Here is a 15,951-nt window from a genome sequence, read left to right on the forward strand (position 1 = left end):
AATATAAAGCTTTGCTGCTGAGAGTTGGATGAAATAAAAAATATGTAGAATACTGGAAATTGTACATAAAATTTTCTGAAAGAAAATATGGTATTCAACAGAGAAACCACAAAAAAGTCTTAACATTCAAAAACGATCAAGGAGATTTTTCATCTCTGAAAAGACATGATTTAACCCAAACTCACTTTCCCTAATTGACAGTGAATTTTCTTCTCCAAACTTAATAACAAATAAAAGGATTATAAGGCAAAAAATATTTTACCAAATAGCTCTAGTTGTATTATTGTTGAAGGTATCTATTTCATTCTGTTTAACTTGATTTCTAAATTTGATGTACTTTACCTCTGTTGGGAAGATTCTGTATCTTCTAAGCACATCTTCCATATCCTTTTATATAAAAATGGGCATTATTTGCTATAAAGAGAAGCCCAAAGCCACATACTGATGTTGCCATCTCAAAGATATTTATGTGACAGGCATGAGTTCTAGAGAAAGGCATGCACCTCAAGCTCAGGTGACTTGCCTGGAGTCAGCCTGCCTTTTCCAGGACTGGCAGAAATAGAGTCCATCCTGTTCAGTCCTCCCTGCGTGAATCCTCTGCTCTCTTTCAGTATGACTCACAGGCTCTGGGAACACATCCCGAATTGCAGTATTGGGGCCTGGGTAGCTGCAAAATTCCGTGGCTCAAGAATGAATTGCAACTAATGAGGAAAGGTGTCAACACAGCTGGGAAAGGGGTGAACTGAGGACAAACAAAACAGGCAAAAACATCCTCTTGCCTGAAAAATGAAGCACAAGAAAATCAGGGGAAGTAATGTTTGATTGCATCCATTGCTCAGAGAGAAAACAGCAAAACAATTTAATTTTGATTTCTTCTGGAGTCTTCTAACTAGGCATTTCCAGAGAAAAATAAATTGCTGATAAAAGTCACGGGGCCTTGGGTAAATCTGGAAAGCAAGAAGTCTGGGGAAGATGTGATTACTCTGACAGCAGAGATGAAAGATTTCAAAGTTCTGTGTGCGCCCAGGTTGACTAATTACTGATTTTGGATGGAGGTAGTTTGATTTGTTATATTTAGAGGATATTTGGAAACCATGAGAATTTTAATAAGATACCTCATGCACGTGCAGCATTGCTGTGGTCCAATCCCTTTGAAATTGTTTGGACATATTTCAAAGAGACAACGAAGGAAAAATTAGATGTTAATTTCTAAATATGTGACATACTGTCTTTAGAACAGTGATTCTCAGACTTTAGTCATCCAGGCATTATTTTCCTGATTTTTGCCAAATCCCAGAACCTGCTTGCTCTCAGCCATTTAATATTTTCTTAAGATTGTCTCATTTTACATTTTTACTTTAAAGCAAACTTTATAACAGTCACGTAAATGCCCTAAACAGAAAGTAAAGGTAAAAATAAGTACAATGGAAAATGTAACCTTATTTAATACGTGTGAAATACTGGTGTAGCAGAAAGCTCTGAGCCTGTTCTTGGTTAAGAAGAACTTTGTTAAAACCAAAGAGATTGTAGCAAATGTTAGAGAATCTGACAGCTACCAAGGTTCTAAACTGAGCCTTGGTCTTCTTGGTTTTATCAGAAGGATTGTAAGGGAATTGGAAGAGGAGCCACAACTTCTCTCTTACTGTGTGATTCAACGTTCACTGTTGCTCTGTGCTAGCAGCATTTCCTACCCTACCCTACACCTTAGAAAACATTGCTTTAGAACTGAGAAGACACTTGCCTTGTTGCTCCAGAAAAAAACAGGGGAGAATCAATGGATGGACACTCCAAAAGGCACATTAGAGGTGAGCCTGAGTAAGCCATTCCTGGAGCAGCAGTAACCACTGAGAGGAAGAGGCAGCCTCAGAAAATCATGAGTGGGTGGGGTAGGAGATGGGGAGATGTTGGTCAAAGGGTACAAAATTCCAGTCAGACAGGATGAAAAATGTTCTGGAAATCTATCCTATATCATGGTGACTAGAGTTAATAATAATGTGTTGTATTCTTGAAAATTGCTAGGAGAGGGCCAGGCATGGTGGCTCACACCTGTAATCCCAGTACATTGGGAAGCCAAGGAGGGCAGATTACTTGAGCTCAGGAGTTTGAGACCAGCCTGGCCAACATGGTGAAACCCCATCTCAACTGAAAATGCAAAAACTTAGCCAGGCATGGTGGCTCATGCCTGTAGTTCCAGCTACTTGGCAGGCTGAGGCAGGAGAATTGCTTGAGCCCACGAGGTGGAGGTTGCAGTAAGCCAAGACTGGACCACTGCACCCCAGCCTGGGCAACAGAGTGAGACTCTGTCTCAAAAAAAAAAAAAATTGCTGAGAGAGCAGTTCTTAAATGTTCTCACAACAACAATAACAAATGGTAAGTATACGAGGTGATGGATATGTTAATTAACTTGATTTCCCCATTTCACAGTGTGTACATATGTTGAAACATCACATTGCCCACTTCATCAACAACACCTTAATTAAACATTTTATCAAAATGAAACAAAATAATGAGAGTCCAAAATAGGCAAATCCACGGAGACTGAAAGTAGATGAATATTGGTCGTCAGGGGCTGGTGGGGAAGGAGGAGTGACTGCGAGTGAGTATCAGGTTTCTTTTTGGGGCTGATGGAATGTTCTGGAACAGGAAAGCAGTCGTGATTGCATGGCCTCCCTGTGACTATACTAAAAAATCGCTGAATTGTATACGTTAAGTTGGTAGATTTTAAGGAACGTGGATTATATCTCAATTAAAAAGTAACGAGAGCTCTGTACTAAGATATTTGTGCCACTCTGTCAGAAAGAGTCAGAGAGATAACTTCTCCTTTGCCTTTGGAGGGAAGATTCCACACATAACACATCTACCAGGGACTACAGAATTCTTGAGTTGACCTCCTTATCAAGCTGTGCTTCATTAGCCAGTTCTTCATATTCTTTTCTTTCATAACACCACACTCTCTTGCTTCCTTGCCTGAGAAACTTTCCCCAAAGAGCTTTTTCCCAGGATTAAGAGCACATGCTCAGACTTTTCTCTTCAAATCCTGGCTATGCGACTTCTTACCTGTGTGGCCTCATATATAGTACCTAAGCTACCTTAGCTTCTTCCCCTGGAAAATGGGGATAAATAATAATAACTCAGAGGCTTTGCAGAGAAGTGATGACGTGACATGTGGCTTTCTTGGAACTGTGCTTGCCCCTAGCACTCACACAATTAGGGATCATTATTACTGGGGCTTCTGTTCAACCTCCTGAATTCCTTTCTTACCGCTCCTTTCTTCTCATTCACTTGTTTTCCATAAGTAGACTTCTTTATTCCAAAAAACTGTATTGCTTCTCAGATTGGCTTATGTATCAACTGTATTCCTTCTCAGATTGGCTTATGAATTACTCCTGAACCCCCTTCTTATGTTTCCAAACCTCTACTGGTTATCTATTTCCCATAAGATATCTCAAATTCAACCCATAAGAAATACAATTCATTGTCTGTTTTGATGATCCTCAGCTGTTCTTTTCTGCCTTTTTAGAGCTAATGTGTATTAAGCAGAATACCAGCCCCTGGTATTCATAAGAGATATTAGAAGTGTGACATTTTTCATGAATTATTGCATTTCATCCTCCCCATTCTATATGCTATTTTTTTATTTTATATATAAGAAGTAGAGGATCAGAGAGGTTAGTTAATAACTTGCCCAAGAACATTCAGGTGGGAAAAGCTGGTTCTAGGATTTGAATTCAGGTTCATCTAGTTCAAAAGCTCATTTTCCTTATCACTCTACCACACTATCTTCCAGCCCTTGGTGACTTGCAGAATTTTTTATGCAGTCTCCCAAATTAAATACCTCAGTTTTCTTTGATTCTCCCACGTTCTCACTACTATATTCTATCTATCACTAACCTGTCAATTCTACCTTGGAAAATATTCTTTAAGTCTCTTCCTTCCTCCCTATTTCCTGCCACTTCCTTAGGATACTGGTTGATTTTAATTGCCTCAGAGCTCCCATCCAATCCTCAATTGTGCTACTGCAAAGATAACTTGAAAATTCCAAATCTGATTGCATCATCACCCTGCTTAAGAGAATCAAAAAATATTCTTGATTGATTAGATAAAACCCCAAATCCTCAATATGGCATAAAAGGTTCTTCAAATATCTACAATTAATATTTCTGGCCTCACCCCCCACATCCCTGCTCTTTCCCCTCTCCTCTTCCTGCTTTTACACTCTTGTTATTGTGGAAAACTAGAATCACTCAATTTAAGTAATCCTTTGATCATATTAAGAACTGTTTCTTCATTTAACAAGCACTTATTGCATTCTTAAAACTAATCTAGTATTACATGCACACACACACACACACACACAGGAATATATGTAAAAATTGGTGGAATCTTCATGGCATTGTGCCAACGTCCATTTCCTGGTTTTGATAATGTGCTATAGCTGTATAAGTAGTTATCAGTGGGCAAAGCTGGGTGAAGCATACACTGACCCTCTCTATACTATTTTTTGTAACATTTTGTGAATCAAAGTTACTGAAAATTAAAAAAAAATGTTACGTGTGTCTTCTGTCTAGGAAGCAGATTAAGAAAAATCATAGCCATGTAATTATTATACACTTAAGTTAATAGATTATTGCATTATACGACTCCTCTAGCTTGCTCTTTCGGCCTGCACTATGAGGGACATGATGGATTTCTCCTTGAAAAGGAAAACAAAGCCCTTCCGGGCAGCAGAGCAGAGTCTGGACTTTTAAATCAGATAGACCTCGGTTGAATTCCAACTCTGCTGTTTTTGTTTTTGTTTTTGTTTTTGAGATGGAGTCTCGCTCTGTCACCCAGGCTGGAGTGCAGTGGCGCGGTCTCCGCTCACTGCAAGCTCCGCCTCCCAGGTTCACGCCATTCTCCTGCCTCAGCTTCCCGCATAGCTGGGACTACAGGTGCCCGCCACCATGCCCATCTAATTTTTTGTATTTTTAGTAGAGACGGGGTTTCACCATGTTAGCCAGGATGGTCTCGATCTCCTGACCTCGTGATCCGCCTGCCTCGGCCTCCCAAAGTGCTGGGATTACAGGAGTGAGCCACCGTGTCAGGCCCCAACTCTGCTGTTTATAAGCTAAATTAACTTGGGCGAGTTCCTTAACCCTGAACTTCAGTTTTATCATAATTATAATAAATATGATAATATGACCTACTTCTTATGAGTTTTGGGGATATTTAAACAAGATAATGTATGTAAACAAGCTAATATATTTTAAAAAGACAAAATGTGAAGTGCTCAGCATGGAATAAGCACCCTTGACTTCTCTTTTTCTCTCACAGCCACGTAGGCAAATCTTGTTGAGTCTACCTGTAAGACGAATCTGGAATCCTACTTCTCATCACCATTCTGCTATCATCTCAGTTCAAGCTGCCATTATCTCCCACCTGAATCACACCAATAGCCTCTTAACGTGTTTCTTGCTTCTGCTCCTAATAGCGGACATCTAATCTGAACTCAGCAGCTGGAATAATCCTTTTAACATGTAAATTGAAACAAGTTATTCCTCAGCTCAGAATCCTCCAGTGGTTTGCCCTCCACTCAGAGTATGAAAGCAAAGCCTTTGAAATGACCCCACAGCTCCCCTTGTTCTTTCCCACTTGCATTCCTGACACACCTTTCAGTCTTTTCCCTACTATCCCCCCTCACTCACTCAGCCCAGTGCAGGCTCTGAGACTAGAACTTGTACACCAGCATTTCACTTGCCTGGATTGTTCCTCCCCCAGATATCCACAGAGCTGTTTTGCTTTTGCTTTTAAGCCAATGCTCAAAAGTTCTTCTCAATGAGGCCTTCTCTAACCATTTTATTTACATTTGCAATCCCCATCACTTCCCCTTTTCTTGTTTCCCATACCACTCACCACTTATTAACATGCTACATAATTTATTTATTGTCTATCTCCCCCAGTAGAAATGCAAGTTCCACAAGAGCAAGTCATTTTGTCCATTTTATTCACCACTATGTCCATTGTGTAGGATAATGCCTGGAACATCATTGGCCCTCAATAAAATCTTCCAAATGAATTCATAAATGAATTACAGCAGAGTGAGTGACATAAGTAAAGCCACAGATGTGTGGAAGAGCAGGATCCATTCAGGAAACTGAAAGATCAGTGTGATCTGTGTCAATTGCATGTAAGGGAAAGGACAACGGTGGAGTTGAAGACGCGACCAGCCACACGGACCTTTGAAAAGTGCCATTGCACAGGGCTTCTTGCTCCCGAGGGCCTTTTTCTTGGTTTAACAGTTTTTCTTGGTTGACACTTGAGATTCTTAAGCATTTTTGAACAGGGGGTCCTGTATTTTATTCTGCACTGAGCCTGAAAATTATGCAGCCAGTTTGGGTTGGAGAAGTAGGAAATATTCAAAAGGCCTTGCATGCTGTGTTAAGGAATGATGACAACGCCACATTTATGCCTTAAAAAGGTTAGCCTCACAGCAGTTTGGAAGATAGAATGGGGAAGCTGGGAATATCATCCTAGCTCATCTCTGCCTAGCCATCCTATTCATCCTTTAAGACCCACTCAGGGCTGGGCACAGTGGCTCACACCTGTAATCCCAGCACTTTGGGAGGCTGAGGCGGGTGGATCACGAGGTCAGGAGATCAAGACCATCCTGGCCCACATGGTGAAACCCTGTCTCTACTAAAAATACAAAAGTTAGCTGGGTGTGGTGGCGCGTGCCTGTAATCCCAGCTACTCGGGAGGCTGAGGGAGAAGAATTGCTTGAACCAGGGAGACGGAGGTTGCAGTGTGTAGGGTCCAGCCCCACAGGGTCGGTGGGTCTCTCCCCATGTGTGGCGACGAGAGAGTGTAGAAATAAAGACACAAGACAAAGAGATAAAAGAAAAGACACCTGGGCCCGGGGGACCACTACCACCAATGCGCAGAGACCAGTAGTGGCCCCGAATGTCTGGCTGTGCTGTTATTTATTGGATACAAAGCAAAAGGGGCAGGGTAAAGAGTGTGAGTCATCTCCAATGATAGGTAAGGTCACGTGGGTCACGTGTCCACTGGACAGGGGGCCCTTCCTGCCTGGCAGCCGAGGCAGAGAGACAGAGGTGACAAAGAGAAAGACAGCTTATGCCATTATTTCTGCATATCAGAGACTTTTAGTACCTTCACTAATTTACTACTGCTATCTAGAAGGCAGAGCCAGGTGTACAGAATGGAACATGAAGGCGGACTAGGAGCGTGACCACTGAAGCACAGCATCACAGGGAGAAGGTTAGGCCTCTGGATAACTGTGGGCGAGCCTGACTGATGTCAGGCCCTCCACAAGAGGTGGAGGAGCAGAGTCTTCTCTAAACTCCCCGGGGGAAAAGGAGACTCCCTTTCCCGGTCTGCTATGTAGCGGGTGTTGTTCCTTGACACTTTTTGCTACCGCTAAACCTCGGTCCACCTGGCAACGGGCGTCTTCCCAGACGCTGGCGTCACCACTAGACCAAGGAGCCCTTCTGGTGGCCCTGTCTGGGCATAACAGAAGGCTCGCACTCTTGTCTTCTGGACACTCCTCACTGTGTCCTCTCAGCTCCTATCTCTGTATGGCCTGGTTTTTCCTAGGTTATGACTATAGAGCAAGGATTATTATAATATTGGAATAAAGAGTAATTGCTACAAACCAATGATTAATGATATTCATATATAATCATATCTAAGATCTATATCTGGTATAACTATTTTTGTTTTATATTTTATTATACTGGAACAGCTTGTGTCCTCGGTCTCTTGCCTCGGCGCCTGGATGGCTTGCCGCCCACACAGTGAGCCAAGATCGCGCCACTGCACTCCAGCCTGGGTGACAGAGCGAGACTCTGTCTAGAAAAACAAACCAAAACAACAACAAAAAAACACTCCGATGTTGTCTCCCTCTGAAGCCCTCCCAGCTACCTCTAGGTACAGCTAACACTGCCTCCTCTGCTTAAACTTCTGACATTCTCTCCACATACTACTCTTAAATCTCTCATGCTGTTTCAGGCATTATACTCAAATTATTTGCAAATGTATTTATCTACCTGTTTTAAACCAGGAATTTCTCAAGGTTAGGGTCATGTCTTACTTAGCTTGGAAGAGTGTTGTGTTTAGTACAGTGGCTGGCACATAGCACATACTCAGTGAGTTTGATGAGTGAATGAATAAATGAAAGAATGACTGTTAAATGAGTATATAACATATCGAAGTAGACCTGCAAACCCATTTTTAATTCAGGCCCATTTGTTGATGAGTGACATGTATTAGTCCGTTTTCAGGCTGCTGATAAAGACATACCCAAGACTGGGCAATTTACGAAAGAAAGAGGTTTAATGGACTTACAGTTCCACATGGCTAGGAAAGCCTCACAGTCATGGCGGAAGGCAAGGAGGATCAAATCACGTCTTACATGGATGGCAGCAGGGAAAGAGAGAGCTCGTGCAGGGAAACTTCCCCTGATAGAATCATCAGATCTTGTGAGACGTATTCACTATCACGAAAACAGCACAGGAAAGACCTGCCCCCATGATTCAATTACCTCCCACCAGGCCCCTCCCACAACATGTGGAATTTCAAGATGAGATTTGGGTGGGGACACAGCCAAACCGTATCATGACACATGCTCAAATTTCCCCTCTTGTTGATAGGAGGAGGAGAAAGGGGAAGAAGAGCCGCAGGGACTCACTCAATCTTCTCATTTGCTTTCACCCTCCTTCACCTCTCCCTTTCCCTTCCCAGCAGACATCAAAGTCTTCTATAGGCCATTCCTTTATTTCCTTACCTCTCATTCTCTCTTCATTGTACTCCTGGTTCTCTTCTGCCACTTTCACTCCACTACCAGTCACCCCCAGGCAAATGAATCTGTTGAACACTCAGTCCTCATCCTATTTACCTTTCTAGCATGATTTGCCATTGCTGAGTACTCCCACCTTTTATACTACTATTATCCCAGGAATTTCATTACACAGCACTCTCTTGTTTTTCCACTCACCTCCATGAATGCTTCCTTCCTAATCTCTTTTGCAGGTTAATCCTGTCCTATTCACTTATTCAATGTTTGAGTTCACAACATTCCATTTTAGGCTCCCTCTTTGGAAAACTGTATACCCTCTTTCTAATCCATCTCATCCACTGCAAGGCCTCAGTAACCACCTAGACTGATATGACTCCCAGATGTATAACTTTAACTCAGATTCCTCCTCTGAGCTCTGGATTGCAAATACCAACACCATCTTGACATTGTCTCTTGGATGTCCCAAAGAAACTTAAACTCACTGTGTTTCAAACCATGCATGCTATCTTCCCCCACCAAGCACGTCTACTCACTAGGCAACTCACACTCCAGACTTTTTTGTCTCCTCAGCACAGAATGTTCTTACCTTTCCCCTTCACCCAGCAAAATCCTCTCTCATTGTCTAGCACTGATCTCCATTGCCAGTTCCACATGGAAGCTTTTCTTAAGTTTCCAAATGAGTCGAATTCCCCATTATATCATATAATTTTTTTTCATGGCACCTACCACAATCATTATGTCATGTTTGTGTACTTATTTAACAAAGAGCTGAACCACAGTCCCTGCTCCAGTAAACCATAAGGCCCAAGAAGACAGGGGTTATTACATTGTTTATATTCATCTTTCTATCCCCTGACCTACCACAGTGCCTGGAAAATGGTAAGTGTCCAATAAATATCTGTTGTTTCCATTCTAGTAATAAAAATAATTATAACTACAACTTACTGAGCACCAGACATTGAACTATGACTGATATTCATTGTCCCATTTCATCTTTAAAATATACTTTGAGAATCAACGTACAGAAATCAGTAGTCAATTCTGTACCCTAATAACATTGTGTACACTGACAACATTCAAGCTGAGAGCCAAGTCAAGAATGCAATCCCATTTACAATAGCCACAAAAAATAATATAACTGGGAATACCTCTAACCAAGGACATAAAAGATCTCAACAAGAAGAACTACAAAGAACTGCTTAAAGAAATTATAAGTGACACAAATAAATGGAAAAACATCTCATGCTCATGGATTGGAAGAATCAATATCACAAAAATGGCCATATTGCCTAAAGCAATCTACAAATTCAAACTATTCCTATCAAACTATCAATATTATTTTTCACAGGGTTGGAAAAACTATTTAAATTTCATGTGGTACCAAAAAAGAATTTGAATAGCCAAAGCAATTCTAAGCAAAAAGAACAAAGCCAGAGGCATCATACTACCCAACTTCAAAATATACCATAAGGCAATAGTAACCAAAACAGCATGGTACTGGTACAAAAACAAATTCATAGACCCACGAAATGGAATAGAGAACCCAGAAGTAAAGCTTCACACATACAGCCATCTAATCTTTGACAAAGTTGACAAAAAATAGCAATAGGGAAAGGACTCTCTATCCAATAAATGGAGCTGGGATAGCTATATGCAGAAGAATAAAACTGGACCTCTACCTTTCACCATATACAAAAATTAACTCAAGATGGATTAAAGATTTCAATGTAAGACCTCCCTTAACCTATAAGAATCCTAGAAGGAAACCTAGGCAACACCATTCTGGACATCAGCCTTGGAAAATAATTTATGAATAAGTCCTCAAAAGCAATTGCAACAAAAACAAAAATTGACAAATAGAACCTAATTAAACTAAAGAACTTCTGCACAACAAAAGAAACTATCAACAAGAGTAAATATACAACCTACAGAATGGTAGAAATATGCACAAACTATGAATCTAACAGAGGTCTAATATGTAGAACCTATAAGGAGTTTAAACAATTGAATAAGCAAAAACCAAATAATCCCATATAAAAATGGGCAAAAGATTTGAACAGACACTTCACAAAAGAAGACATACATGCAGCAACAAATGTATGAAAAAATGTTCATCATCACTAATCATAGAAATGCAAATCAAAAGCACAATGAGACACTATATCACACATCAGTCAGAATGGCGACTATTAAAAAGTCAAAAAACAACAGATGTTGATGAGGCTGCAGAGAAAAGGGAATGCTTATACATTGTTGGTGGGAATGTAAATTATTTCAACCACTGTGGAAAGCAGTTTGGAAATTTCTCAAAGACCTTAGAACCACGATTTCATCCAGCAATCCCATTACTATGTATATATCCAAGAGGAAACAAATCATTATACCAAAACAACTCATACACTCACATTTTCAGGAGCACTATTCACAATAACAAAGACAAAGAATCAACCTAGGTTTCCATCAACATTGAATTGAATGAAGAAAATGGTACATATACACCATGGAATACTACACAGCCATTAAAAATAATGAAATCATGCCCTTTGCAGCAACATGGCTGCAGCTAGAAGCCATTATCCTAAGCAAATTAACACAGGAAGAGAAAACCAAATACCCTATGTTCTTACCTATAAGTGGGAGTTAAACAGTGGATATTCATGAATATAAAGATGGCAACAATAGATACTGGGGCTACTAGATGGGGGAGAGAGAGAAGGGGGCAAGGGTTGAACAACTAACTGTTGGGTACTATGCTTAGTACCTGGGTGATGGGATCATTCATAACCCAAACCTCAACATCACATAATATACCCAAGTAACAAACCTGCACATGTACCTCCTGATTCTAAAATAAAAGTTGAAAAAGAAAAATAAATTTTAAAATATATGCTTTGAGTTCCCATCACTGTGTTTATATACATGTATATACACATATTTACCTGTATTAATATTAATGTTATTACACAATATGTATATATTATATGTATTGAATATATATTATATTTCAACAGTTATGTGTTTATATACATACACACAAATATACACACACATATATATACATATATATATACATATATATATACATATATATATACACACACATATATATACATATATATATACATATACATATACATATATATATACATATATATATACATATATATATACATATATATACATATATATGTATATATATATGGTTTTATGAAGAAATTGAAACTCAGCAAAGTTAAGTACTATCCAAGTGTACTCATACTGGGACTTGAACCCTGACTCCAGTACATTTTTTCCAATGCAGGTCTTCTAAATCTGACTCTAGTATCCTTTCTCCACCAATATCCCTTACAGAAAAAATACAGTGGAGATGTGCAAATATTTTCCCAGCATTATCAACTTAATAATTTACACATTTACATTAGGCTATTTTGCATGACATAGACACATATGTGTTTTGATCACACATGTAATATAGAGAGAACTTTAAGTGAATTTTAAAAATGTGGCCCATCTCTCCATCAAAATGACTGTCATCCCTGGAACTGACATTGGTTGAGGACCACAGGGTTACCACTGCCCACTTGGAGATAAAATTTTACTATGGAAAGGAGGACTCAAACTCACCATTTCCATTGCAATGGTCTGTGTCCAACCTCCTGGTCCCCTTCAACCAGTTGTCTTCACTTGGAGAAGAGTTGATGTCACCAAAGATACTTCCATGCAGCCAAGATTTGGAGGTACTGAGGTTGAAGAGAGAAGAAAAGGAATGGCAGATTCTCTTTTTCTTTCTAAATATCCTAGAGAGAAATGAAAGCATGGTGAACAACGAATAATAGTTACCTTTAGTTCAAAACTGTGATTTGAAGCGCAGAGTACATTTCTACAACCCAAGTCTGCTCACTGCATTAATTCTACAAAAGTTTCTCAAAATTCTACTGTGTGCCAGGTCCTTGGCTCAATGTCAAGAGTACTGAGGTAAAAGACAAAACTTTGTGTGTGAAAAGTTCACAATGTATTATAGGAGAAAGAAAGAAATAATAATGCACATATAGGTAATGCTTTCCTAGAGTTTATTCTATGCCTTGCATCTTTCTTAGTGCTTTACATAGATTAACTCACATTATCTTCAGAACAACTGTATGAAATAGATACTATTATTATCCCATTTTTCTGATCAGGAAACTTAGGCACAGATAGGTTAAGTCACTTGGCTGAGGTCATGCAGCTAGTAAGTAACATAGTTGGGATGCAATCCCAGAGAGTCTGCCTCCACGGTCTTTGCTTTTGATCGCTATGCTATATAGGGGATAAGTGCTCTGAAAGGATTACCTAGAGGCTGCTGTGAGGGCACCAGGAGTGGCAGTGCTAATTGATAATCAAGGGAGTTTTTCTGGGAGAAGTGAGTTCTAAGCTGCATCAGATGATCTGACCTGTTTATTGAGGAACCAGTAAGTCTGATTAGGTCATGCCAAGAAATGAAGCTGGACAGGTAAAAGGAAGGTAAGTAATGATGAACTTCTTATATGCTACAAGGGAGTTGGAATTTAGTGTTGGAACAATGGGAGACCTCTAAAGCATGGCTACAGGGAACAGATTAGTGATGACATAATTCGGTTTGCATTTCCAAAATTGTTGGTAGCAGAGGGTGGCTCAGAGGTACAAGATTGAGGTCAGAGGGGTTAATCGAAGTGCACAGGGGATTCACTGTTGCGTATCTGCCTGTGATGTGTCAAGCCCTGTGCTGAGCACACTGTACTGGCAAAAAATACTGAGGGCCTGAACCAAAGGTAATGCAAGGTTGAGTGGGACAGCTTTCCCATCACAGGCAAGGTGGGCATGGAACAGTTTTCCCATCACAAAATTCTGCTCTTTAGCTATAGCTGCTATCAGAAGATGCATTTTGAATTGTGCTTTCCCTTGGTGGTTAAGATGAATTACAACAAGCCTTGTGTGTTCTTTATCCTGATGGTTCTCAACCAGGTTGATTTTGGCTGCAGGGAACATCTGGCAGGTTTTGGAGACATTTTGTTAATGTTACACCAGGGAAGGAGTGCTCCTGGCAGATGGTGAGAAGAGGCTAGAGATGCCATTAAACATCCTACAATGCACAGGGCAGTTGCCCACAACAAATAATTATCTGGTACAAAATGTGAATAGTGCTACTGTTGAGAAAATCTGCTTTATTTGAACTCTCTCTGTCATAGGTTTCAGGAACAACAAGTTGAGAAAAATGGTAGAGTTCATGACAATGGAACACATTCTTGTGAAAATGAACCAAATTTTAAAGATTCTTGTAGGCTCTAAGATGAGATCAATTAAAATTGAATAAAAAGGAATTAGTAATTTTTATTCATTTATTATCATATTCATTAATTCACTAAACAACTCCTTATTAAGTATGTATTATGGGATGGGCACTCATCAAATTTGAGAACAAAAAGTATGGATGAGACATCTTTAACATCAAGAATATCTATATAACAAGGGCTAGAGTTAAAAGTGGTGTTTCAAAACTGATTCGCTAAAGTCAGACCATCTGAGCTGGAATCCTATTTCCACCTAATAGCCCTGTGAGCTTGGGAAAATTACTCAACCTCTCTGAACTCATGTTTCACCTTTGTGAAATGGGAATGGCAGTAATAAAATCTACGTCATAAGATTCCAGAGCAGGAGTTTGGAATCAAATGGTAGTATATATCCAAAACAGTTGAGATAGTCCCTAGCACACAGAAAGCAATCAATAAATTTATTTTATTTTTTTATAGCAAATATTGGCAGTTATGTAAGGTGAAATGAGAAGAAAGAAAATGGAGTAAGACTTTCCTGAAGGAGGGTGCCTAACCAATGTAAGAAAACCACCTTGCAATAGCCTGGCCTGGGGAATGTACTGGAAGGTAGGTAATCCAGGAGGCATCAGAATCAACCATGGCTGAAATCTAAACAGGAGGTGATGGTGGCCTGAATGAAGAAAATAGCTATGGGAAGAAAGACAAGAGGAACAATTCAAAATAATTTTAGGAAGTAGATTCATTTGGTCTTCACATTTGTGGTGGAAACAATAAACTTCTCACCAAATACACTGTACCTGGACACACAACTGAACTAGATCTTTCTGCTCCCTTGCCATTAGGTGTGGTCATGAGTCTAAGGTCTCCCCAGTGCAATGTGAGCAGAAGTGATCTGTACCATTTACGGGCTGGGGAAAGAAGATGTTCCTTCAGCTCACATTCTTTCTACTTTTACCAGTTGGCTCCAGGCAATTCCACCATGGCACAGCCTCTACAAGGCTCGCATGTTTAGCAGAGGCATATGATGAAAGAAAGAGGCTGGGTCTCTGAGTCTCTGCTTCAAGGTGGGTCACCAGTTAAGCTAGAACACTCATGCTGGACAATTACATGAGCAAGAAATAAAATCTGGGCCCGGCACAGTGGCTCACACCTGTAATCCCAGCACTTTGGGAGTTTGAGGCGGGCGGATCACAAGGTCAGGGGATCGAGACCATCCTGGCCAACATGGCGAAACCCCATCTCCACTAAAAATACAAAAATTAGCTGGACATGGTGGTGCATGCCTGTAATCCCAGCTACTTGGGAGGCGGAGGCAGAAGAATCGCTTGAACCAGGGAGTCGGAGGTTGCAGTGAGCAGAGATAGCGCCACTGTACTCCAGCCTGGCGAAAGAGCGAGACTCCATCTCAAAAAAAAAAAAAGAAAGAAAGAAAGAAAAGAAAAGAAAAAGAAATAAAATCTGGTTTGTTTGAGTCATTACATATTTAGATCTATAGGTTACTACCTATACCATCTTATCCTGACTGACTGACTAAAATGGATGTAGGAATAAAAAGGTCAAGTCTAGAGAGACTCACAACGGAGGATAAGTGGTGCTTCTTTTCATTGAAATAGAAATCATGTGAGAAACATTTTGAAAGAAAGGTGACCTTTTCTATTTTGGACATACTGGGTTTGAGATGCCTGTAGGAAATCCCTCCCTCCCTCATCAACAAGGGTAGAGTGCATTTCCCTGACCCTTATTACAACTTGCCCATGTAAGTTGAATTGACCAATGAGATGGTAGAAGACTGATGCACACAGAGGCTTGAAATGTATCTGCTGTTGGGGTATGTTCTCTTGCATTTATGTAATTACAATGGAAAGAACA

The 15,951-nt window shown here is 40.1% G+C and overlaps 1 protein-coding gene across 14 annotated transcripts in view; it reads right to left on the reverse strand.

The window, feature by feature from the left end:
- Positions 1–15,951, reverse strand: part of TMEM71 (transmembrane protein 71) — a 70,161-nt gene that overhangs the window by 28,685 nt on the left and 25,525 nt on the right. For 12 of the 14 annotated variants that reach the window (NM_001382396.1, NM_001382397.1, NM_001145153.2 and 9 more), the window contains one exon: positions 12,419–12,591. In NM_001382396.1, coding sequence (NP_001369325.1) covers positions 12,419–12,591 — 173 coding nt within the window. The remainder of the gene's footprint in view (positions 1–12,418; positions 12,592–15,951) is intronic. The other 2 variants (XM_047421363.1, NM_144649.3) reach the window with 1 other exon arrangement.

The sequence above is a fragment of the Homo sapiens genome, chromosome 8 (genome assembly GCF_000001405.40).
Source record: "Homo sapiens chromosome 8, GRCh38.p14 Primary Assembly".
Lineage (NCBI taxonomy): Eukaryota > Metazoa > Chordata > Mammalia > Primates > Hominidae > Homo > Homo sapiens.